We start from the raw sequence: 24,817 nt of genomic DNA on the forward strand, positions 1-24,817 counted from the left end.
TTGTGCAGGGACTCAAAAAGGCACCCATGGGAAGAAGCAGGCTTAATTGAACAAAATATGCTAAACAACTACTATGTACCACACACTGTACTACTAGCTACTGGAGTGGCAACAAAGTCACTATACTCAAATAACTCTAAAACCAATAAAAAGGGAAATGCAAACAAATAACCCATATTTCTTTAATTCAACAATGCATATTTTCTTCTAATGCTAACATTTTTGAAATCTATGTATGCATTTACTGAAGTGGTGTTTATTTGTCAGAAAAGTTATTAAATTGATGGTGCATACTAGGGTGAAGGAAATATATTCACTGCAATACAAAATCACAGCGGCTATAATAGAGGTATAGAGTAATCACTGTTATGTAGAAGATGAGGGGAAAGGGAAAAGATAAAGGCCTGATCTGGGATACAAAGAATCAATAGGAGTTCACAAGGTGGAAAGCCAAAGAAGGATATTAACAGGAAAAAAAAAAAAAAAGAAAAACCCTGAGGCATCGAACAGCATGATACTTTCAACGAGCAGCACATATTATAGTTTGATAGGCTGGAATGTAGAGGTCCGAGGCAGTATGAGACTAAACTGAAGTGCAGGTAGGTCAGGAATGCAAAGTGGGGTCATCTTATATTCAAAAACCAAACAATATTATATACCATGTTAATACAACAAAGGACAAAAACCATATGATTAACTCGATAGAACAGAAAAAGCCTTTGACAAAATTCAACACCCTTTCATGATAAAAACATTTGAAAAGCCAGGTATAGAAGGGAATTTCTTCCACCTGATAAAGACCATTTACCGAAAAAAACAGAGCTAACATTATATTTAATGGTTAAAGACTGAATATATTCCCCCTAAATTCAAGAACAAAACAAGAATGTCCACTTTCACAGCATCTGCTTAACATTATTGAAACTAGAAGTTCTAACGGGGACAATTAGGCAAGAAACAGAAATAAAAGGCTCCAGATTTGAAAAGAAGTAAAACTATCTCTATTTGCAGATGACATGACATAGAACACCCTAATGAATCCATTTAAAAGACTACTAGAAGAAACAAGTTCAGCAAGGTTGAAGGATAAATGATCACTTATAAAAATCAATTGTATTTCTACACACTAGCAATGAACAATCCAAAAACTAAATTTTTAAAATTCCAATTACAACAACATCAAAAACTAAAAATAGGAAACTACAAAATAATTGTTAAAAGACATTAAAGATATAAATAAATGAAAAGACATCCCCTATTCATGGATTGGACAACTTAATATTGATAAGATGGCAAAATTCCCCCAAATTGATGATTCAACACACTCCTTTTCAAAATCCCAACTTGCATTCTGCATTTTCCAAAGAAATTGTGTAGCTTATCCTGAAATTCATGCAAGGGTCCCAGAATAGCCCCAAAAATCTTGAAAAAAATGTCGGAAAATTCACACTTCCCAATTACCAAACTTACTGCACAGCTACAATAATCAATACAGTGTGGTATTGGGTTAAGAACAGAAATATAGATCAATGAAATACAATTGAGAGTTCAGAAATAAATCTTGACATTTATGGTCAACTGATTTTAAACAAGGGTCACAAGACAATCAGATGAAGAAAAAAATGACCTTTTCAAAAAATGGTGCTAGGACAACTAGATACCCACATGTAAAAGAATGAAGTTGGACCCTGATCTTACATGACACACAAAAATCAACTTAAATAAGCAGTAAAGCTAAATGTAAAAAAATGAAAGAGCTAAAACTATAAACTCAGAATACATAAGGATAAATCGTTCTGACCCTGGGTTAGGCAATGCTTCCTTAGACATGACACAAAAAGCACAAGCAACATAAGAAAATAGATAAAATAGGTGATATCAGTATGTTTTAATTTTGTGTTTCAGAGTAGATGAACCAACAGAATAGGAAAGAAATATTTGCAAGTGATATATCTGATAAAAAACTTGAATATAGAATTTTTTTTTTAAAAAAACCTCTTACAACTCAGTAATGAAAAGACACCCCAATTAGTAAATGGACAAAGGGTCCTAATAGACATTTTGCTTATGAAAATATACAAATAGTCAATAAGCACATGAAAAGATGTTCAACATCATTAGTCATGAGGAAAAGTCAAATCAAATCCACAATGAAATCCTGACTCACGCTGGGCACGGTGGCTCACGCTTGTAATCCCAACACTCTGGGAAGCTGAGGCAGGTGGATCACCTGAGATCAGGAGTTCAAGACCAGCCTGGCCAACATGGTGAAACCCCGTCTCTACTGGAAAAAAAAAAAAATACAAAAATTAGCCAGGCATGGTGGCACACGCCTGTAATCATAGCTACTCAGGAGGCTGAGGCAGGAGAATCGCTTGAGCCCAGGAGGCGGAGGTTGCAGTGAGCCGAGATTGCATCACTGCACTCCAGCCTGGGCGACAAGAACGAAACTCGGTCTCGAAAAAAAAAAAAGAAGAAGAAGAAGGAAAGAAATACTGCCTCATACCCACTAGGATGGCTATAAACAAAAAGATAAAAACAACTGCTGCTGAGAATGCAAAAAAAATTGGAATTCTCATAATACTGGTACATGCTACAACATAAATGAACTTTGAAAACATAGTAAGTTAAAGAAGCCAATCATAAAAGGTCACATCCTGAATTAAGTCATTTACATAAAATGTACAGATGGGGTAAATCTATAGAGACAGAAAATAGATGAATGGTTGCCTAGGGTTTGATTGGTTGGGGAGGAGGCAGGGAGAATGGAAAGGGATTTATTTGTACAGGATTTCTTTCAGGGGGAGATGAAAATATTCCAAAACTAAATTATAGTGATGGGTGCACAGCTAACAACCAATCAACAATATACTTTAAATTGGTCCACTTTTGGTCTGTGAACTCTCAATAAAATGTTAAAAAGAAAAGAAGTAGGCCAGGTGCAGTGGCTCACCCCTGTAATCCCAGCACTTTGGGAGGCCAAGGCAGGTGGGTCACCTGAGTCCAGAAGTTCAAGACCAGCCTGGGCAACATGATGAAACCCTGTCTCTACAAAAAAATACAAAAATTAGCTGTGCATGGTAGCACACCCCTGTGGTCCCAGCTACTCGGGAGGCTGAGGTAGGAGGATCACTTGAGCCTGGGAGGTTGAGGCTGCAGTGAGCCGTGATTGTGCCACTGTACTCCAGCCTTGGCAATACAGCGAGACTCTGTCAAAAAAAAAAAAAAAGAAAAAAGAAAGGGAGAAAAGAAGTAGATACAGAAGCCAAGGCCCTTGGTCCCTAAAGTTTCACAATTTCACTGAAAAATCACTGAAATGAGGCAGATTGATTAAAAGCAGAAAAGGCATACAAGTTTACTTAAAGTATATATATGGGAGCCTTCAGAATTAAGACCCAAAGGAGGAATTGCCTATTTTATGCTTAGGTTCAACAAAGTATGGACAGCCCAGCTGTGCAGAAATATGATTGGCCAAAAAGAATATATTCTAAAGCTGACAGACTGAGTGGGGAAACCTAGCAAGGCCTGTCTGCCTATTAAATAGATTCTTCTAGGCCTCTCTGAGCCTGTATTCCTTCCTTCTGACTGTGGGGCAGGGCCCTCTCTGGAATGGGGGTCTTAAGACCTACAGTCAAACAAGGTAGGTTAGATCATTTCTTTGTGTCCAGTTTTTACACAGAAAGGCAGAGGGGAAATTAGAGTAATATTTTTAGGTCTTATGGCTGGCTTTCAGGAAAAGGGGTTCTGGCTTCTGTGATCCTCCTTGGGGAAGAGGGATTCTAGTTTCTACGGCTAGCCTTGGAGGAGAATGGGACAGAGAGACAGGAGGGCAGGACAAAGTCAGTGCAAAACTTCTGCTTCTGAGGCTGCTGCTGAGGCCTTCATTTGGGGGTATTGTTTTCTGAGCCCCAACATAGGTAAGGATGGATCTGAAAAAAGATAATCCATATGTAAAAACAGGAACATGGAACTCCACCTCGTGCTATACATAAAAATCGATTCCATATGAATTAAGAACTTTAATACCAAAAACAAAACTAAAACTCTTAGTAAAAAATGTAGATGAATATATTTTACATATTCTTAAACAGGACACAGAAATCATTGACTACAAAATTCAAGATTGATACATTTGGCTGTATTAAAATTTACAAATTTGTCCATCAAAACACCCCTCAAAGAGCAAAAAGGCAAGTTATAAACAAGATATTCAAAATATACAAAACAAATGATTAGTATAAGGAGTATTTTTTTAAACCCATAGAATTCTATTTTTTAAAAAAGGACAACCAACCAACAGAAAATGGGCAAAATAAATGAAAAGCTATTTCACAGTACAGGAAAGACATATGACCAACAGACATCTGAAGAAAGGTTAACATCATTCGTGATCAGGGGAATGTAAATCAAGAAAGACTTCATCGAAATACCTTTTTAAACACACTTGGTCAAAATTTTTAAATTTGACAGTACTGTTTTGGAGGGCACATAGATTCATAGGATCTCCTATACATGTCAATGGAAACAGAAATGATAAATCGGTTTGAACACTGACATACTATACAACCCAGCAATTCCATTTTCAAGTATATACACAAGAGAAATCCTTGCACAAGTACAAGAGACATGTATAATAATGATAGTAGTGCTATTCCCAAGAGAAAAAGGAGGAGGGGGGAATGAAAATGGCTATCAGTGAGAAAGTGAATAAAGATGGTATATTCACATGATGCAAGATAACACAGCCATCCAAAAGAATGAACCACAGTTTTACATAACAATTTGGATGAATCTTAGCAATTTAATTTTAACTAATAAAATATAAAAATTACCACAGTTAAATAAAACATAGTGTATGTATTACTTTTTTTAATGTTCAAAACAAGGAATAAGGAAATAAGATTTTGAAACGTACGGCTTGAAAACTGGCTACTGGCTTGAAGGTGTTTTAGTAACATTGTTTTAGTAACACATGACAATCAGATTTGCATATTAGAAAGAATGGTTTAGCTACAGTGTGGAGGACTAACTAATTTAAGTTGAAGAAAACTTGAGACAGAGAGATCATTTAGAAAACTACTGACAGGTCCAGTTAAAGGTAAGGAATAGAGGAGAATCTGAACAATGACATTGAGAATAGAAAGGAATGAAACTGATCTGAAAGCTATTCAAAGAGTTATGACCAACAGGCCTTAGTCCCTCACTAGATATAGAGGCTGAGGGAAAGGGAAGAGTGGAGAATAACTCCCAAGTTTTAGATCTGGGTGACAAGGGGGCCTAGGGTGAATAACGAGAGTTCATTATTTGACATATTGAGTTTGAGGAGACTCTGAGATATCAGCATTCATGTAGTTTCCTCCATCTAAGAATAACTATAAAATCTGATGCCTCCTCTCTAAAGGCCAATCCTCCAACTTCTTTATAAAGCCCCCCTCTGCTGTTCAAACGACCAAATCAAATGTTATCCCTCCCTCTTTGAACCTATGCTGCACTTTCCATTTATCTTACTCTAACCCAGGGTTTCTCAACCTTGGCACCATGGACATTTTAGACAAGTTAAGTCTTTGTTGTATGGGGCTGTCCTTTTCAATGTAGGATGCTTGGCAGCATCCCTTGCCTCTACCCACTAGATGTCAGTAGCAACCCCCAAATTGTGATAATCAAAAATGTCTTCAGCCAGGTGTGGTGCTGCAGGACTATAGTCCAAGCTACTCAGCAGGCTGAGACAGGAGGATCACTTGAGCCCCCGAGTTAGAGCCTGTGAACAGCCACTATATTCCAGCCCAGGCAACATAGCCAGGGCAACATAGCAAGGCCTTGTCTCTTAAAAAAAAAAAAAAAAGTCTCCAGATACTGTCAAATATCCTCTGGAGGCAACCTCTCCAACCCTACCCTTCCCCACAATGAGAACTACTGATCTAGGATATAATAGGTATATGAGTTCTTATTTTAAACCATTATGAAATCATTAACTCACTGAAAGCAGCAACTTTACAACCTTTACAAAATATCTATATGACAAATCCATTCTTACATACTCATTAAGGTAGTTTAAGGACACAGTCATCTATGTTTAATTTACTATTTCTAATTCACAAAAACCTTTAAATGTAATTATTTCCCATTGACATAGACATCCCCAACCAAGTAGCTCAAAATACTAAGGATTTACGTATTGCAATTATTTTTTTAAGAAGTGAAAAACTCTAGACTATACATACTAGATTCTCTTAGGAACATAATCATTAACAAAAAGCCATTTCTGAGTGAAATCCAAATTCACAAATGTTCTAGAATCAGTTCATCTCCATATGGTTCAAAGAAAAGTTTATGTCACAGTTATCTTATACCTGTCTCTTGTCACCTTGAATCTCTAATATTCTACTGAGACAAGTAATTAATCTAAAAATAAAGTGACAACATTCTCTGTCACAAATTAGAAAAGACTACACAGAATCAAGTGTTCCTGAAAAGGAAAGAACTTACTTTCCTATTTGGAAAAAACTTTTCCTCAAAGAATTTGATATAAAAAATACATTAGAAAATATCTACTGTTGAATTATCCATTACAGTCCATTGACAGGTATTCTGTTAATGGAATGCTATCTATTTACATGAAACAAGAGAAATGTAAAGATTAAACATTACAGTTTGACCTTTAGCAGATTGAGTGCACTAGCTGAAAGTGAGAGTAAACATAAACTTACATTGTTATTAAATTGGCTTATACAGTTTTCTTTAATTACATTAAATGGTTCCCTGGCGTGTAAGGTATTTTTTTTTCTGTAAATGAGAAGCAGACAACCCTTTCTGAAACTTTCCAGATAACTGATTATAAGAGTATTACAATGTTTTAAGAAGCACCCAAATACACTCAAAGTGTAGAGAAAAAAAGAAAACTAAAATATTTCCCTTTCTAGGTCATGATGATCACTAGCCTCTGCAGAATGGGGAGGTGTGTATCATGCAGTTAAGGCATCTCACAGAGTGGGCTGCTAGGCTGGGCTGGGAGAACAAGATGCCTCTTTTGCAAAGTTTCACTGTGTGCCTAGGAACTTAAACAAATGGCACCTCCCAGCAAATCAATTTTGTAAGTCTTCAATTATCTTTATTTGTAGTAAGTGTCCCTAGCATTACTTCTTATGTTCTCAGTGAGGTTCTGGATCTTGTCTACCTTCATGCCAAATAAATGCTTCAGAATTTATATCACAAATAATCTAAATTGAAATATTAAATTTAAACCTTAAGCAAAAGTATTCCACTAACCCCAATTTTAAAACATCCCAATCAACCACTTCTGTTCTTATACCTGTCATGCAACAAATACCTAACCTAACTTTTCAGGAAGCTTTCTCAAACTAAATTAATCCCCTCTAAAATTAAGCCTTATGCCACAGTTCCAGATCTCTTATGTGTACAGTATATTAAAATATATTATTTTGAATACTATTATATATTATAGTGAAATTCTTTTCTAATGGTTATATTACTGTATACATTTGACTATTGTATAAATCCTTTAAGTACAAAAACCATGTCTCTTTTTATTAGCCATAATCATGTTTCCAAAGTAGGAGTTCAATAAATGCTTGCTTAATGAATCTATTCTAAAACCATAAGAGAGGCATGATAGCTATGCAAATACACACAAAACAAAACACACCATACCACAAACAAAAAGTATATAACCTACGAAGTTAAATAAGCATTGAATTTTCAGAATAAATAACCTATTTATTGGCATGGTGTTTAATAACTGCTTTTTTATAAAGAGAGAATGTGTTACACTGGAAATAACATTAGGATAGCACTGGAGTTGAAAAACCTAGGCTCTGACCCACACACTCTGCCAGACTCACCATTTAACTTTGGACAAATCACTTAACCTGTCTCTCAACCACAACGAGCAATTACTATGTACTCTGCCAAGCTCACAGGGTTATTATTAGGATACAATAGGATAATATATATGAAAGTACTTAAAAATGTATAAAGAGCTGTATAAATGGTATTATCTTAATGATGAATGTACCCTTCAATTAAAGATAACATTTTATTTTAAATGAAAGAAATTAAGGGATAAGTATGCTGTAGAACTTATCACTGAATAAATCAGTACAAGGTTCAGTAATTCAGATTCAATCTATAGCAATTAAAATATGAGTCAACTGTCAAAAATGTGCTTCACATTCGATTTTTCAGGAAGACATTTATTAAATGAAGCAAGGCAGATATTTGAATAAGGCCACAAAATCACAATCATGAGCTCATTCCACTAAATGCACTGAGAGGACCTTCACCTCACAAAATCAAATGCTGTGTTTATCTGGCTCCATTTTACAACCTGATACAATGCACCATGCCCTACAGTTGAAAAGGTGAACCAGCACATGTAGGAAATACTAGAGTTGACTCCTGGTTTACAGGAAAACACGTGATTATCCAGGACACGGCAGAATCTGATGTAAGAATTCCTAAATCTGTTTCACAGACCTACTGCTCATGTACATAAACAGGTATAAAGAAGCAGAGGGAGCAGCAGCAAGTACGCTGAAACATATCCACTTATTTGTAGCACTGGTGACAGAGTCAACTATGCAAGGTTTCAGGATTTGTTTGGGTAACAATTAAATTCACTTTCAAGTCAACAAATTATCATAGTATCCAGATGGACCAAAAAGTTCTATGCAATTTCCCTTCATCTTGTCAAATCTATCTACAGACCATCTCGGAGAAGACATTACAGCAAGAGTCAGCTACTTTACTGAAATGGGTTACCAACTTTCTGATCACTGTTTTATGTCCTTATGTGGGTGAAAATTTTAATCAAGGAGTATCTGGAAGGGAGATCTACTCAAAAAGGTCATGAATCTCCAATCACCAATTGGAGATTCAAGTAAATTAGCAAACTCCCCCTTTTAAATGTTAATCTCCTAGAGAGGCTGCCATAATCATTTACCTGAGCTCTATCCCAATAAAGTAAGAGGAGTGAGGTTGAAGAGAGAAAGAGAAAGGAGAAAAGTGTGATGGGGACAAAGGGAGGAGGCAAGTGAAGAACAGACACTAGAAATGCAGAGAGAGGTAAAAAGACACCAAAGATAAACTCTGCAAACAGCTGCCTAAAATACATTTTCCCTCATAGGAAGCCTGTTAGCAGAGAAAAGATTTTGCTGCTACATGTTTAGGGGGCATCATTTTCTTCACGTAAATTTATCAAACAATTTGAAACAATTTTTGAGTATTTAGTTCCTAGTTTTGGTTTTGACTTTCTTGACAAGTGGCTTTAAGGTTAATAACTAAACTTTTATCAATGTTCTTATTCACTCAAAGAACAAATATTTCTTGAGTGCTTAAAAAATAAACAATTTTAGGGTTTCTCAGCCCTGAGTGCATATTAGAATTACCTGGGAAGATTTTTTTTCCTTAAGTTCCTTGGCCCCTGAGATTCTGATTTAATTGGTCTAGGGTGGGATCCAGGCAGGGTTGAAAAAACAAACAAAAAATCTCCCTTGCAATTGTAATGTGCAGCCAGGGTGGAGAACCAGGGGTCTATTTCATCTTAATGTAAAAAAACCTTCCCCCATTTATTTTGAAATGTATTAATTTCTCCTTATTCAATATTGTTTCACCCAGATTCTCACCACCTCTCACCTAGATTAACATTAACCGCTTCTTAGCTATTTTCCCTTCCTCTTGTCTCTTCCTAATGCAATAAGGAATGCTTGTCTAACTAATCGGTTTGGTTCTGAAACAGTATTCCACTGAGTCATTTTAAGTATAACAAGATCACCAAACAGATCATTTTCATCAAATAGAGAATATACTGTATGTGTGTTCCTGTATGTATGTGTGTGTATGTATGTACATATGTATGTATAATCTCAAACACACTCTATTTTTCTTCAGTTCCAATGTACCTGCCGTCATTTACACATAATGAATAGTGGTCTCTCTACATTAAAAAATACTGCCCCTAAAAATTTCGTGGCTAAATTTTATCAAAAACAAATGGCAAATGAGTCACCCAAAGATATCTAATTTAAATGAAAAAAAAGAGCAGCACAAGATCTTGTTTACTCTGATTTTTGAAATGTTCCCACAAGAAATGCTCATTCAACTGAAGAGAAAAAGTAAAATGAAACTTATGATGAATGAATGTTTACCATGAACAGATATGGTTCTGCTTTGTGTTGAAGCTTGCCTCAGAAAACCAACTGAAGGCTTAAAAGCCAAAGGCTGTAACTGCATCAGATGATATTCATATTTATGAGAAATATTATCAAATACAATAAAGGGGATATATAATAAGAAGACTGAACAAGTATATGGCTTACACCCTGCCTTTTAAGGGGCTCTATTTCTTCTCAGGGATAGCAAGACAGAAACATAAAAAGAAAATAAAACCAGCACTGCCAAGTAAGTGGTAAAGACAATAAGTACCATGGGAATTCAAAGAAACAGGAGATTCTTGTGGACTAAGGGAGTTGGAGACAATTTCTTGGAAGAGCTGGGGCTTCAATAAAATTAAATAGACGGAGAAAAGAGGGAAATCCCAAGCATACAGATGATCTTGTACAAAGATGAGGCAGAAATGCACAAAATGTATTTGAGAGACAGAGAGTTGACCTAGTTGGAAGAGAGGATTCTATGTGGGAGCATTTTGGGGAATAAGGTTGCAACAATAAAGTGGAGCCCAACAATGAAAGTCCTGAATGCCAAGCTAGGATGCTTAAACTTTGTCCTGCAGGTAGAAGGATCCTTTATAGGTTAGAAAGAACAATAAGAAAAAAAAAAAAAAGAGGAAGAAGAAGAAAAGAAAAAAATCACTATAATGATGCAGTCTGAAACTGTTTTACTTGAAGCCTTTGAAGAACACACCAAGTTGCATAATATCTTGCTAACAGTCATGAATATGTGAACATATTATTTAGGAAATCTGTTCTGAGTGAAGGAGTAAATACTCCAACATGCTTTACAAAATATAAAATCAGTGGTCGATTACACATTCATAGTTCTTAGGATCATTGCTAAAAGAATCACTGGGTGGAAAGCTTCAATTTTAGGTTTTCCTCCTCTCCCCACTTTGTTCCAACACAAATACCTTGATTTAAGATCTAAAAACTGAATACATCTGAAATTGTCTTGTTTTGAAAATAAGTGGTATTTTACTACTCCTCATTATGGGTGAATTTACTTACTATATTGTTTCAAAATGACGACATCTATTAAAATAATTTTGTCCAGATTTATTTCAGCAAAGCAGATGAAAACAGAAATAAATAACAAATTTAAAGATTATAAAAAGTAAAAAAAAACCTTTCATCAAATCAAGACATATCTAAAATAATCCAGCATTGGTTTATAAGAGAGTGTGTCCCTAACAAAAAATGCCAGCCACAACAAAGACTACCAGAGAGTATATGAAGAACATTACAATAGCCAATTTCTCACCCAAAGTGATAAACCTTTAATCCACAACTCCATAAAGAATGGAGATAATTTTTTCTCAAAAATACCCTTAAAATTGTTGGCTTTCTACTATAAAAATTAAGACTCTAAGATAACTCAAAACAAGGATTAGCTTTCTTCTAGTAAGCAGACATGTAAGTGATTGATGATTTAATTTACCACTGCAGCAAATACTAATTTAACCACCACTACCTTCTCAACACCAGGAAAATGAAAAATCTCAGTCTTTAAAGGCATACGTGACAAGAAAGAAGCCAAGAATATCGTAGGATGATTAAACCACACAGAAAAACCATGGCAATCCTGCTGCTGTACTCTGAAAAAGGATATGCCATTCTTTCAGGCACGTATGCCTTTAAGGAATATGTAGAGATTATGATTTTTGTGTTTCGTTTAGTTTGGTTGGGTTTGGTTTTCCGGGAAAGACGGGAAGATCCAGGAGAGTTGAAAGAAGTGCATTAAGGAAGGTGTCAATGACTCCCTCCCACCCAAACTGGGGAAACTTGCTTTAACAATGATGCTCTTTCACCCCTAACATCCTACCAGTTTCTATACATCCTTCAGGCAGCATTCCTCCCCTCCCCTATTGCTTGATTCGCCCCTCACGTTCAGGAGAACGGGCTGCCCCGACTTTGTTAGTCTGGCGGTCCCCGCGCACCCGCCCAGACCCGCAGAGTCCAACAACGCAGCCACGCAGCCACCCACTCCCCGCACCTCCTCCTTCACAGCCAGCTTCCCCTCCCCCCGTCCTGTCACCTGCTTGGGTGGTGTCCGTCAGGTCGTAGCCGCTGCCCGGGAAGTCTCGGAGTTTCCGACCACTGAGGCTCAGGATGCCGGAGCTGCCCGCCTCTTCCAGGGCCCGGTCCAGGCTCCTCACGGTGTGCTGAGGCTGCAGGCTCCCCGGGTTCCACGGCGGCCCGTTGGGGAACGGCTGACCGAAAAGAGTCGGTACCGGGATGGGGACCACCAGGGTCCCGCCGCCGCCGCCGCCTCCCCCTCCAGCCCCGCCACCTCCCCCTCCAGCCGTGCCACAGCCACCGCTACTTCCACCTCCACCACAACCGCCGCCCCCACTGTTACCGCCTCCTCCCTGACTCGCCGCCATGTTCCTGGGAGAGAGAATAGCCCCCGACAATACTGTCAGCCTGTGCCGCGAGTGTAAGGGGTTCTTAGGACGCATGCGCAGACTGGGGGCGGGGGGTGGGGGGCGAGGTAGAGAGTGGGAAGGAACCAGGGGGCGGGCTGGGAGGAGGTGTTGGATAGAGAAAAGATGATGTTTGAAAGTGCAGAACGCTTGCTTTAAGAAATGTATGATAAGAAGGATGCTAAATCCCGGTTCTGCTGCTTTGGGTACCAAAGTCTTGCGAAACGACACCAGGCGAACTATAGGTCATCTGGGCTGTATGTCCCCAACTCTCTAAGTTGCTTCACTGTTTCCGTTCTGCAAAACAGAAACAAATATATGAGCTAGGGATGAAAGGGATTCGTTTCAGAATATACAGAAACAGCACTTAGAAGGGCTATGGGGCAGCTTATTGAGAAGCTTACTGCAAATGCCTCAGGAATCCTTTACCAGTGTTAGAGAAACGCTGGGGAGTCACTTGGGGAGGGAAATGAGTGCAGTGTTGAGTTTGGGGCATATATGAATTTCTCCATAGTTTAGAATTCTATAATAGGAAAAGATTTGTAAAATGTTTTCAAGGAAGCCTCTCGTTTCAATGTATGTAAGTCTCAGCCAGACTGTTGCCTTCCAAAACTTGGAAGAGTTATCCACATTCTGTTCTATCACTCTTTGAAGTTGTGCCAAGATCTCCAAAATACCTCTAGTTTCTTCTCATCGTGTCAGTACTGCCTGATGAAAATCTCTTTGATCATCAAACAATCTTAAGTTATTTCTGAAATACAGGTTTTGTTTTTAGATGGAATTCTGAAGATTTAACCCTGGGTATTATGAAGCCAATCGATCTTGAATTTTAGGAGTTCATTCTCAGAACCTGAAGATATTTTTAATGTAGAAGACATAGAGAAGAAAGTTCAAAGTCCTTTATCTGGCATTCCAGGCCTCCATAATTTAACCCCAGACTATCTAGCCGAGTTTATCACCCAACCATTTAGGCCACTGCCATCCCTTTACCCACTACCCTCTCCACTCTCAATCATAGTCATTCAAATCTTTTTCTCTAGTATTCAGTAAAGTTGATGAAGAAAACTATCAGAATGCTTGGACATATTCACTTATCATTGAGTATCCTATGTATCTCTTTTACACCTATTTCAATTTGAGCAATGTGTCAACAGCCTCATTTTTTAAGAGAAATCTCCACTTCAAAAAAGTATATCTGCCATAGGCTCTACTTTATAAAAGATTACAGGAAAGAATTACAACTTGTCTAAATTGATTTGTGGCTATACTGGTTAACTAAAATGATTATGTCATGAGAAATTACATTCACCATATGCATGACCCAGAAGGAAGAAAACAGAGAATCAGACTCTGTATAGTGAATTAGCAAGTGAGATAAATTATTAAAACACACCGGTGTCAAAAAGGCATGTTGCACCTTATATCTCATCTTCCTTATATCTTAAATCAAATTATTAATTCATAATTCATAATTAATTGAGAACTTCAGAATTAAGATGAATGAGAAAGGACACTAAGTTCATTAGAGAAAAGATTAGGAAAGAAAATATTTTAATAATTAGCCAATGAGAATTTTTGCAATTATTTAAAACAATGTATTGGACTCCAGGAAAAATATGTCCTATCAGGATACCTGTCCAGTGAAAAAAGGCATGTACAGCCAAATTTAAGAAGGAAAATAATTTTTCAAAAAGTTGAAAGATAATCTAAGAAAATGGGACGCTTATTAAGTAAGCTATGTATACCTTAAAATCAGACAAAATAACATGTTGTAGAGCTCTTTGACAAGAACACCAAGGCCAAAAGATTTAGAAGAGAGGGCATAAAGTTTAGAAATTTATTCTGAACTTTTAACTCCCTGTGTAATACTTGGGAAAGTGGCTTAAAAGCTCAGTACTTCAGTGTCTTCATATGTAACAATGGAAAATAATAATAATAATAATATTTTTAAAGTGCTTGCTACTTGCCAGGGAGTGCTTTGTATATACTTACTTGTCTATCGATCCTCATAACAACCTTGTAAAGTAGGTACTATTATTCTTCCATTTTATAGATGAGGGAAAATAGTACATACCTACTATATGATTGTTGTAGGAATAAATAAAGTCATACATGTAAAGTGGCAGGCACATACCTGACATTCATTTATTCATTTAATAAGCATTTAAGGAGCAATTACTCTGTGCCAGAAACTCTCCATGCCAGTAATACTATAGCATTGGGCACTCAATAAGTGTTAATCTCTTTACTACACCTCTACTCCTTCAAAAACTAAAATAATAAAGAACATTCAAAATGTAGGACGCCAAGGAAAAAATTAGTAAATGTCCTGATAACTGTGGGTAAAGACATTATCTGACATATTGCATGAATTTTTTGATTCAGTCTATACTAGAGGATATTTTACATTGATTACCACTGCAATGCAGTCCCTGAAATGACACATTGGTAACTGGTTGAATTACAGCCAGCAGTCAGAATTATCCAAGCCAAACTTATGAAATGTATGTTGGTAAGTCACCAACTATATGACATATACCAAAGATTATACAAGGAGAACAGAGGGAAAGTAGGGGAGTTTTGAACAAAACATGCAGCCTCTACTAAATCACTGGCAGACTCCAAATGTAGTTTCTGTTCAAAAGAACTCTAGAGAGGATTTCTGAAATTCCAGGCCAGTTTATAGTCACTGCTATTCCAAACAAACACTTATAAATATATGGAGAAAGAAAGGCACAACCAAATGTCCAAAGCTACAAATTCTATTAAAGGTCAAGATTATTGGGCTAAAGTACAGGATGTTCTTACTAATCTGTAAATAAATCAAATGTGAGATATGTTTTAGCTCAGGATCCAGAAAAAGGCAACCAACTTGGAGATTAAATAGCTCAAAGTATATTACGAATTTTTAAAAATCTTGATCAAGACCCAGGAAAAAAACATGAAAATCTCTGTAGTCTGTTTTTTGAAAACATCAGCTCAACTAAATGCTAACTTTAGGGGGAAAAACGAAATGTTGGGTGTCATCAAAACATGTATGAAAAACCTGAGAAAACATGTTGGTTTACCCCATACTAAACTATTGGAGTGAGCTGCAGCTGGAATGAGATATGCAGTTCTGCTCACTCCAATCTCAGCACAGTCTTGAATTAGAGAAAGCCTTGAGAAATGCATACAAAATGATTAGAGATAAGGAGGAGGAAATTCACTTGGCCCTCCTCTGTCTAGTAACTTGATCTTCAGTCTCTTCCAAAATCCCTGTTCTTTCATGGAGCCTTGTAAAGGACTATACATTAATGTGTTTTAGCATAATTTACCACATACTATATACAGCATCTCTGATCCTCCTTCACCTATCTGTTCTTGATTCTGCCTTTTCAGATAATCCTTTGTCCTGCTTTAACCAATCCTAACAAATTAATTAATCCCAAAGTTAATATTTATTAACTCATAAAGCATTTGGACAAATGTATGAATGATCACTATTACTTAAAAGGAGCTATTACATACCTAGTCTTCAAGGTTGATGTCAACAAGCACTATTATGTTCCATCTCGGTTAGAATCTCTGCCCTGACATTTGAAAAATGTGAGATGTTAGACAAGTCACTTAACCTCTCAAAGTCTCAGATACCTCATCTATAAACCAGAGATCATTACATTATTAGCTATCTTTAGGAGTGTAGTGAGAATTATATGAGATAATTGTATTAAGTAACTAGCATATTAATGATTATTTTCAATGGTTCTGGGTTCATTCTGTCAATAGGACACCTATCTGAGTGGACCATGAGTTAACAGCAGAGCAGTTCCTAAATTCTTCCATACTATTGTGCTACCAGCACTAATAGGCACTTCCTTTAGTGTCACTGTTGAGGTTATAGCCTTGTCAATTCACCCCAAGTTCCTGCCTCCCCTAATCATTGTGTTTTCACTATAAACAGTTAACCTGACTCCAATTTCTGCTTACTGCCTCTAATGCAATCCCGGATTTTGACCTCTGTGTTTCTAGTATTTTAACCTGATATCATGAAATTTATTTAAAATATATGTTCCATATCCTTCTTTAAAATATGTCCTAAATGTTTTTGTGTACACAACATCGGTCTGTTACAAATTTTGAAGTTTTCTTATTAGAGTAGTATGTAAAGATACAGAGATTGTTAAATTTTGCTAGTGTAGCTTGGTCAAAGGAAAGTAAGTAAAACATCACACAAAATTACTGTAAACCTGTTATGTCCAATTAGAAAACATAATGTTGAGGAAGATTTTTAGTCTTCCTTAAGATTACATTGGAAAATCTCCTCTTCATATATAAACATGGAAACACACATGCTATGATGTATAAACATGGAAAAACACCTGTTTGGGAGATGATTTGCCCCCTCCAAAACTCATGTTGAAATTTGATACTTAATGTGGTTGTGTTGGAAGGTAGGGGGCCTACTGGGAGGTGTTTGGGTCATGGGGCAGAACTCTCATGAATGTCTTGGTGCTGTTTTCGTGGTAGTGCATTTTCAATCTCTTGAGACTGGATTAGTTCCAGAGAGAGCAGATTGTTATAAAGCCATTTCCCTCCTCCTGCTTGGTTCTCTTCTTCCCACTGACCACTTCCCCTTGACCTTCTCTGCTATGTTTTGGCCTAGCACTTGGCCCTCACCAGAAGCCAAGCAGATGCCAGCACCATGCTTCTCATATTTCCCAACTTGTAAAACCATGAGCTAAATAAACCTTTTTTCTTTATAAATTACCCAGTGTCAACCGGACTTGATGGTTCATGCCTAAAATGCTAGTGCTTTGGGAGGCCAAGGTGGGAGGGTTGTTTGAGGCCAGGAGTTCGAGACCAGCCTGGGCAACATAGCAAGACCCTATCTCTACAAAAAAAAATTACTCAGTCTCAGATATTCTGTTATAACAACACAAAACAATCTAAGACCATGACATATGCCCTTTTCGGCAAGTGTGTCTTTTATATTTTCCTCTTCTTGCAGTATGGGAGAGGGAACAATTAAATAGGGTCTTTTCAAGCGAAATCCAAATGCCTAAAAGTAAAACCTAAGTAATTATCGTACTACCTCTAAGCAGGCATAATAAAGTGCCCATAATAAAATGCCCATAATCCTAACAGGTTGGGATGTGAAGGAGAGAAGATCCTTGAGCCCAGGAGTTCAAGACCAGCCCTGGCAATATAGTGAAACCCTGTCTCTACATAAAATTAAAAAAATAAAAATTTAGCCGGGAGCAGTGATGTGCACCTCTAGTCCCAGCTACTCAGGAGGCTGAGATGGGAGGATCTCTTAAGCCTGGAACTTCCAGGCTGAGTAAGCCTTAGCTGCTCCACTGCACTCTAGCCTGGGCAACAGAAGGGAAAAAAAAAAAAGAAGATTGGAATGAAATGTTGAAGAATCCAGTTGGGCATCTATGAAATTCTAATCATATTTTTTTACTTTAAAATTTGCTTCAATCTTAACCATTCTATATAGCATTTACTTCAAGTAAAGTTGACTGGTTTACAAGTTTATGTTTTTTAGTTTATCTTCCTCAATTGATTAAACTTATGAATTTCTGTTGGACTGTTATGAGGCATCTCCTAATGGCAATGCACCCAAATTACAAGGGGTTTTGTTTTATTTTGTTTTGTTTTGGTTTTTGAGAGTCTGGCTCTGTCACCCAGGCTAGAGTGCAGTAGTGCAATCTCAGCAGCTCACTGCAACCTCTGCCTCCAGGGCTCAAGCCATTCTCCCACTTTAGCCTCCCAAGCAGCTGGGGCTACAAGCACTCACCACCAAACCTGGCTAATTTTTGTAATTTTTGTAGAGATGGGTTTCATCATGTTTCCCAGCCTGGTCTCAAACTCCTGAGCTCAAGCGATCTGACTACATTGGACTCCCAAAGTGCTGGGATTACAGGAGTGAGCCACCGTGCCCAGCCACAAGGGTTCTTTTATTTTGTTTTGATGAATGATGAAATTTATTTTAAAGTCTAAATCTGTAAACTTAACACTAAACATAACAGGGTCACACATTACCCTAAAATCCAATTTTTCTATTTGGTGACAAGATTTGCTTCTTCTTGACCATGGACTACATCATGACCCTATTTAGCCTATTAGTAGAGAGTATGTGAGAAAATATTGCAGAATATCTTAAATGTGTTTTGTTTTGGTGAGGCAGTCAGAAATTCCAGCTTTCACTTACATTACAGGTTTAGGTTGGCAATGATAACCTTCAAGAGGATATTTATTTCTGCTTAAGTACATTGTCTACATTTATGGTATGATTCCACAAAGTAGGAAAAAATATATTGGTTGTTATGGTCTCATGTTTCACACTACCAGGTGTAATTAAGGTAGAAGACTAACATACTTTCCCCGTCTCTTGTGGTTTTAACAGTATCTTTATTAAAACAGCTAACACTAGTCATTAAATAATGGAGTAGATATTTCTAAGGTACTAATTAGTAAACAACTAGGTTCTTCTTGATGAACTCATCTACTTCTTCCATATTGTATATCTTAAGCACTCCTTAATAAAAACCTTCTATTTAAACACCTCTACTTAGATTAAAGCCTTTTATTCCAGGACACATACATAAAGTTTCAAGGAGCTTAAAATTTTCTTAGCTTCCAGTGGCTTCTTCTACTGGTGGTAAGCGATAGCTTTTTGAGAAGGTAGCAAAACTACAGACATTAATGCACCATACTGTTTGACCTCTGTTACAGTATGTCCCTGTATGCTTAGTCAACAGACAAAATGGACTCTTTGTGCTTAACTGAGGTGACTTAAAACAGAACCAGGTGGCCATCATGAGAGAGCCGTCATTTATTCTGTTCTCAGAAAGATGTTGTAAAGATATCACAGGACCTCACTTTCTACAGTCAAGCCAAACCAGTTCCTATTGTTGGTGCCAAGATAAACTTCAGACAGATCACCCCTCCCCAAGCTGTTTGAAAGAAAAGTCTCACAGACTTCTAGTTTGGAACTTGGAAACCAACCAATCAGAATTCACCTGCCCTGGACAATCGGGGTCAGTTGTATCAACCAATCAGGACTTGGCTGTGTCAACCAATCAGAACTAAGCAAGTTTGAATCCTTCATTTGCATAAATGGACCTCATTGGGAAACTTGGTTGGAATTTTTGCTATAAAAGACAAACTCAACAGGCACGGTGGCTCCTTCCTGTTATCCTAGCACTTTGGGAGACCAAGGTGGGAGGATCACTTGAGCACAGGAGTTGGAATCCACCCTGATCAACACGGTGAGACCCCCCATTTACAAAAGAAAAGAAAAAAAGCCAGACATGGTGGTGTGCACCTGTAGTCCCAGATACTTGGGAGGCTGAGGCAAAAGGATAGCTTGAGCCCAGGAGTTTCAGGTGGCAGTGAGCCATGATCGAGCCACTGCTCTCCAGCCTGGGTCACAGAGTAAGACTTTGTCTCAAAAATAATAATAATATTAATAATAATAAATAACTTTATTATTATTATTATACTTTAAGTTTTAGGGTACATGTGCACAATGTGCAGGTTAATTACATATGTATACATGTGCCATGCTGGTGTGCTGCACCCATTAACTCATCATTTAGCATTAGGTATATCTCCTAATGCTATCCCTCCCTCCTCCCCCCACCCCACAACAGTCCCCAGAGTGTGATGTTCCCCTTCCTGTGTCCATGTGATCTCATTGTTCAATTCCCATATATGAGTGAGAACATGTGGTGTTTGGTTTTTTGTCCTTGCAATAGTTTACTGAGAATGATGATTTCCAATTTCATCCATGTCCCTACAAAGGACATGAACTCATCATTTTTTATGGCTGCATAGTATTCCATGGTGTATATGTGCCACATTTTCTTAATCCAGTCTATCATTGTTGGATATTTGGGTTGGTTCCAAGTCTCTGCTATTGTGAATAGTGCTGCAATAAACATACGTGTGCATGTGTCTTTATAGCAGCATGATTTATAGTCCTTTGGGTATATACCCAGTAATGGGATGGCTGGGTCAAATGGTATTTCTAGTTCTAGATCCCTGAGGAATCGCCACACTGACTTCCACAATGGTTGAACTAGTTTACAGTCCCACCAACAGTGTAAAAGTGTTCCTATTTCTCCACATCCTCTCCAGCACCTGTTGTTTCCTGACTTTTTAATGATTGCCATTCTAACTGGTGTGAGGTGGTATCTCATTGTGGTTTTGATTTGCATTTCTCTGATGGCCAGTGATGATGAGCATTTTTTCATGTGTCTTGGCTGCATAAATGTCTTCTTTTGAGAAGTGTCTGTTCATGTCATTCACCCACTTTTTGATGGGGTTGTTTGTTTTTTTCTTGTAAATTTGTTTGAGTTCATTGTAGATTCTGGATATTAGCCCTTTGTCAGATGAGTAGGTTGTGAAAATTTTCTCCCATTGTGTAGGTTGCCTGTTCACTCTGATGGTAGTTTCCTTTGCTGTGCAGAAGCTCTTTAGTTTAATTAGATCCCATTTGTCAATATTGGCTTTTGTTGCCATGGCTTTTGGTGTTTTAGACATGAAGTCCTTGCCCATGCCTATGTCCTGAATGGTAATGCCTAGGTTTTCTTCTAGGGTTTTTATGGTTTTAGGTCTAACCTTTAAGTCGTTAATCCATCTTGAATTAATTTTTGTATAAGGTGTAAGGAAGGGATCCAGTTTCAGCTTTCTACATATGGCTAGCCAGTTTTCCCAGCACCATTTATTAAATAGGGAATCCTTTCCCCATTGCTTGTTTTTCTCAAGTTTGTCAAAGATCAGATGGTTGTAGACATGCGGTGTTATTTCTGAGGGCTCTGTTCTGTTCCATTGATCTATATCTCTGTTTTGGTACCAGTACCATGCTGTTTTGGTTACTGTAGCCTTGTAGTATAGTTTGAAGTCAGGTAGCATGATGCCTCCAGCTTTGTTCTTTTGGCTTAGGATTGACTTGGCCATGCGGGCTCTTTTGTGGTTCCTTATGAACTTTAAAGTAGTTTTTCCCAATTCTGTGAAGAAAGTCATTGGTAGCTTGATGGGGATGGCATTGAATCTATCAATTACCTTGGGCAGTATGGCCATTTTCATGAATATTGATTCTTCCTACCCATGAGCATGGAATGTTCTTCCATTTGTTTGTATCCTCTTTTATTTCCTTGAGCAGTGGTTTGTAGTTCTCCTTGAAGAGGTCCTTCACATCCCCTGTAAGTTGGATTCCTAGGTATTTTATTCTCTTTGAAGCAATTGTGAATGGGAGTTCACTCATGATTTGTCTCTCTGTTTGTCTGTTGTTGGTGTATAAGAATGCTTGTGATTTTTGTACATTGATTTTGTATCCTGAGACTTTGCTGAAGTTGCTTATCAGCTTAAGGAGATTTTGGGCTGAGACAATGGGGTTTTCTAGGTATACAATCGTGTCATCTGCAAACAGGGACAATTTGACTTCCTCTTTTCCTAATTGAATACCCTTTATTTCCTTCTCCTGCCTAATTGTCCTGGCCAGAACTTCCAACACTATGTTGAATAGGAGTGGTGAGAGAGGGCATCCCTGTCTTGTGCCAGTTTTCAAAGGGAATGCTTCCAGTTTTTGCCCATTCATTATGATATTGGCTGTGGGTTTGTCATAGATAGCTCTTATTATTTTGAGATAGGTCCCATCAATACCTAATTTATTGAGAGTTTTTAGCATGAAGTGTTGTTGAATTTTGTCAAAGGCCTTTTCTGCATCTATTGCGATAATCCTGTGGTTTTTGTCTTTGGTTCTGTTTATATGCTGGATTACGTTTATTGATTTGTGTATATTGAACCAGCCTTTCATCCCAGGGATGAAGCCCACTTGGTCATGGTGGATAAGCTTTTTGGTGTGCTGCTGGATTCGGTTTGCCAGTATTTTATTGAGGATTTTTGCATCAATGTTCATCAAGGATATTGCTCTAAAATTCTCTTTTTTGGTTGTGTCTCTGCCCGGCTTTGGTATCAGGATGATACTGGCCTCATAAAATGAGTTAGGGAGGATTCCCTCTTTTTCTATTGATTAGAATAGTTTCAGAAGGAAATAATAAATAATTTTTTAAAATTAACACAAACTTGCAGGGACAAGGAAGAAGCTGGAAGGGAAGCCATTATTCTCAGCAAACTAATGCAGGAACAGAAAACCAAACACTGTGTGTTCTCACTTATAAGTGGGAGTTGAACAATGAGAACACATGGACACAGGGAGGGGAGCTACACTCACTGGGGCCTGTCGAGGGAGGGTGGGTGGAGAGAGCATTAGGGAAAACAGCTAATGCATGTGGGCTTAATACCTAGGTGATGGGTTTATAGGTGCAGCAAACCGCCATGGCACATGTTTACCTATGTATCAAACCTGCACATCCTGCACATGTACCCCAGAACTTAAAAATAATAACAATAATAAAGAAAGAAACACACACTTGCCAGGTGCAGTGTCTCATGCCTGCAATCCCAAAACTTTGGGAGGCCAAAGCAGGAGGATTGCTTGAGCCCAAGAGTTCAAAACCACCCTGGGCAAAGTCCTCTTCATCTCTACAAAAAAATTAAAAATTTAACCAGCCCTGGTGGCATGTGCCTGTAGTCCCAGCTACTGGGAAGGCTGAGGTGGGATGATTCCTTGAGCTCAGGAGTTTGAGGCTCCAGTGAGCTGTGATCATGCCATTGCGCTCCAGCCTGGGCAACAGAGTGAGGCCCTGACTCAAAAAACACACACACACACTCTCTCTTTGTTCTCTGGAACACAACTTCATTTTACACCAAAATCTGTATCTCCCCTGTTTGCAAACTGTTCACTGGAATAAAGTCTCTTTGCACCAAATTCCTTTCCAGAGAACTTCTGTTCACATTACTAGCATCTCCACTGCTGTAACCTTAATTCAAGTCACTATTTTCTCTGGACTACTACAGTAACTTCCTGATTTAGGCCTTTCTGCTTCTACTCTTCTGCCACTTAATAACTATGTGGTTTTGGGCAAGTACTTATCTTCTCTTTGCCTCTGTTTCCTCATTTGAAAAATAGGGATGATAATGCTACCTACCTGATAGGAATATTGAGAGGATTAAAATTAGTTAATATAAATACAACACCTGAAAGAGCTTGTAGCACATAGTAAGTACTCAAAGAATGACAGCTAGTATTAAAGGTAAATTAACTCTCTTAATTTCACAAGAGTCTTGTGAAGCAGGCTTTTTTTTTTTTTGGACAAGTTCTTGCTCTGTTGCTCAGGCTGGGGTCCAGTGGCACAATCACGGCTCACTGCAGCCTCGACCTCCCAGGCTCAAATTATCCTCCCACCTCAGCCTCCTGAGCAGCTGAGACTACAGGTTTGCACCACCACATGGCTAATTTTTGTATTTTTTGTACAGACGGGGATTCACCACGTTACCCGTGCTGATCTCGAATTCAAAGCAATCCTCCCACCTTGGTCTCCCAAAGTGTTGGGATTACAGACGTGAAGCACCACACCCTGCCACAGGCATCATTATTATCTTCATTTTGTAAGTGAGGAAATGATTGTTCAGAGAAATTAAGTTATTTGTCTAAGGTTTCAGCTGAGAAGTGGCAAAGCAAAAATTTTAATAGAAGCATGCCTGACTCCTAAACCCAGTTTCTAAACCATTGTGACTCCTGGCAGTTATCCATCTGCATTAGTGTCCTTTCTCGCCCCCAAAATTTTTAGTTACTTTACTCCTTCCAAGCTATCCCCAAGTAGTAGTGATTGCCAATTGCTAAGTGCTGCCTGGTTAACTTAAGAAAAATTACAAAGTTTGCTCGTTAACAACTTCCATTAAACTTCAAATCAACCTACTTTCTTACATGGACTTAAATAGACTGGCTTCTTTTTTAAAGTATCATAAACGTAAGAGTATCACAACCTTTTTCAAGGTTTTTTCTTCATTATGAAAACTTACTCATAAACGCAGTTCCCAAATACAACCATTTCGTTGTATTTGGTGATGATATTTTTATATATTTGGTTCTATGTTTTCCTATTAGCACAAATTCTTATGTCATTCATTATCTATTTTATTTATAAATATTATTAGCATTTATTTTTATAGTGATATACTCTTTAGAGATGTTATAATCATATTCTATATACCATATAACAGCAGTCCTCAACCTTTTTGGCACCAGGGACAGGTTTCATGGAAGACAATTTTTCCACAGACCAGTTGGTGTTGGGTGGTGGGGTGGTT

General features: G+C 37.8%; 1 protein-coding gene across 4 annotated transcripts in view; it reads right to left on the reverse strand.

Annotated features, from left to right (window-relative positions):
- Window positions 1–12,629, reverse strand: part of LRCH2 (leucine rich repeats and calponin homology domain containing 2) — a 123,481-nt gene extending 110,852 nt beyond the window's left edge. For all 4 annotated transcript variants that reach the window (XM_006724724.4, NM_001243963.2, NM_020871.4 and 1 more), the window contains exon 1: window positions 12,226–12,629. In XM_006724724.4, the coding sequence (XP_006724787.2) occupies window positions 12,226–12,574 (349 nt within the window). In that variant the 5' untranslated portion in view covers window positions 12,575–12,629. The remainder of the gene's footprint in view (window positions 1–12,225) is intronic.

Source organism: Homo sapiens, chromosome X (genome assembly GCF_000001405.40).
Source record: "Homo sapiens chromosome X, GRCh38.p14 Primary Assembly".
Lineage (NCBI taxonomy): Eukaryota > Metazoa > Chordata > Mammalia > Primates > Hominidae > Homo > Homo sapiens.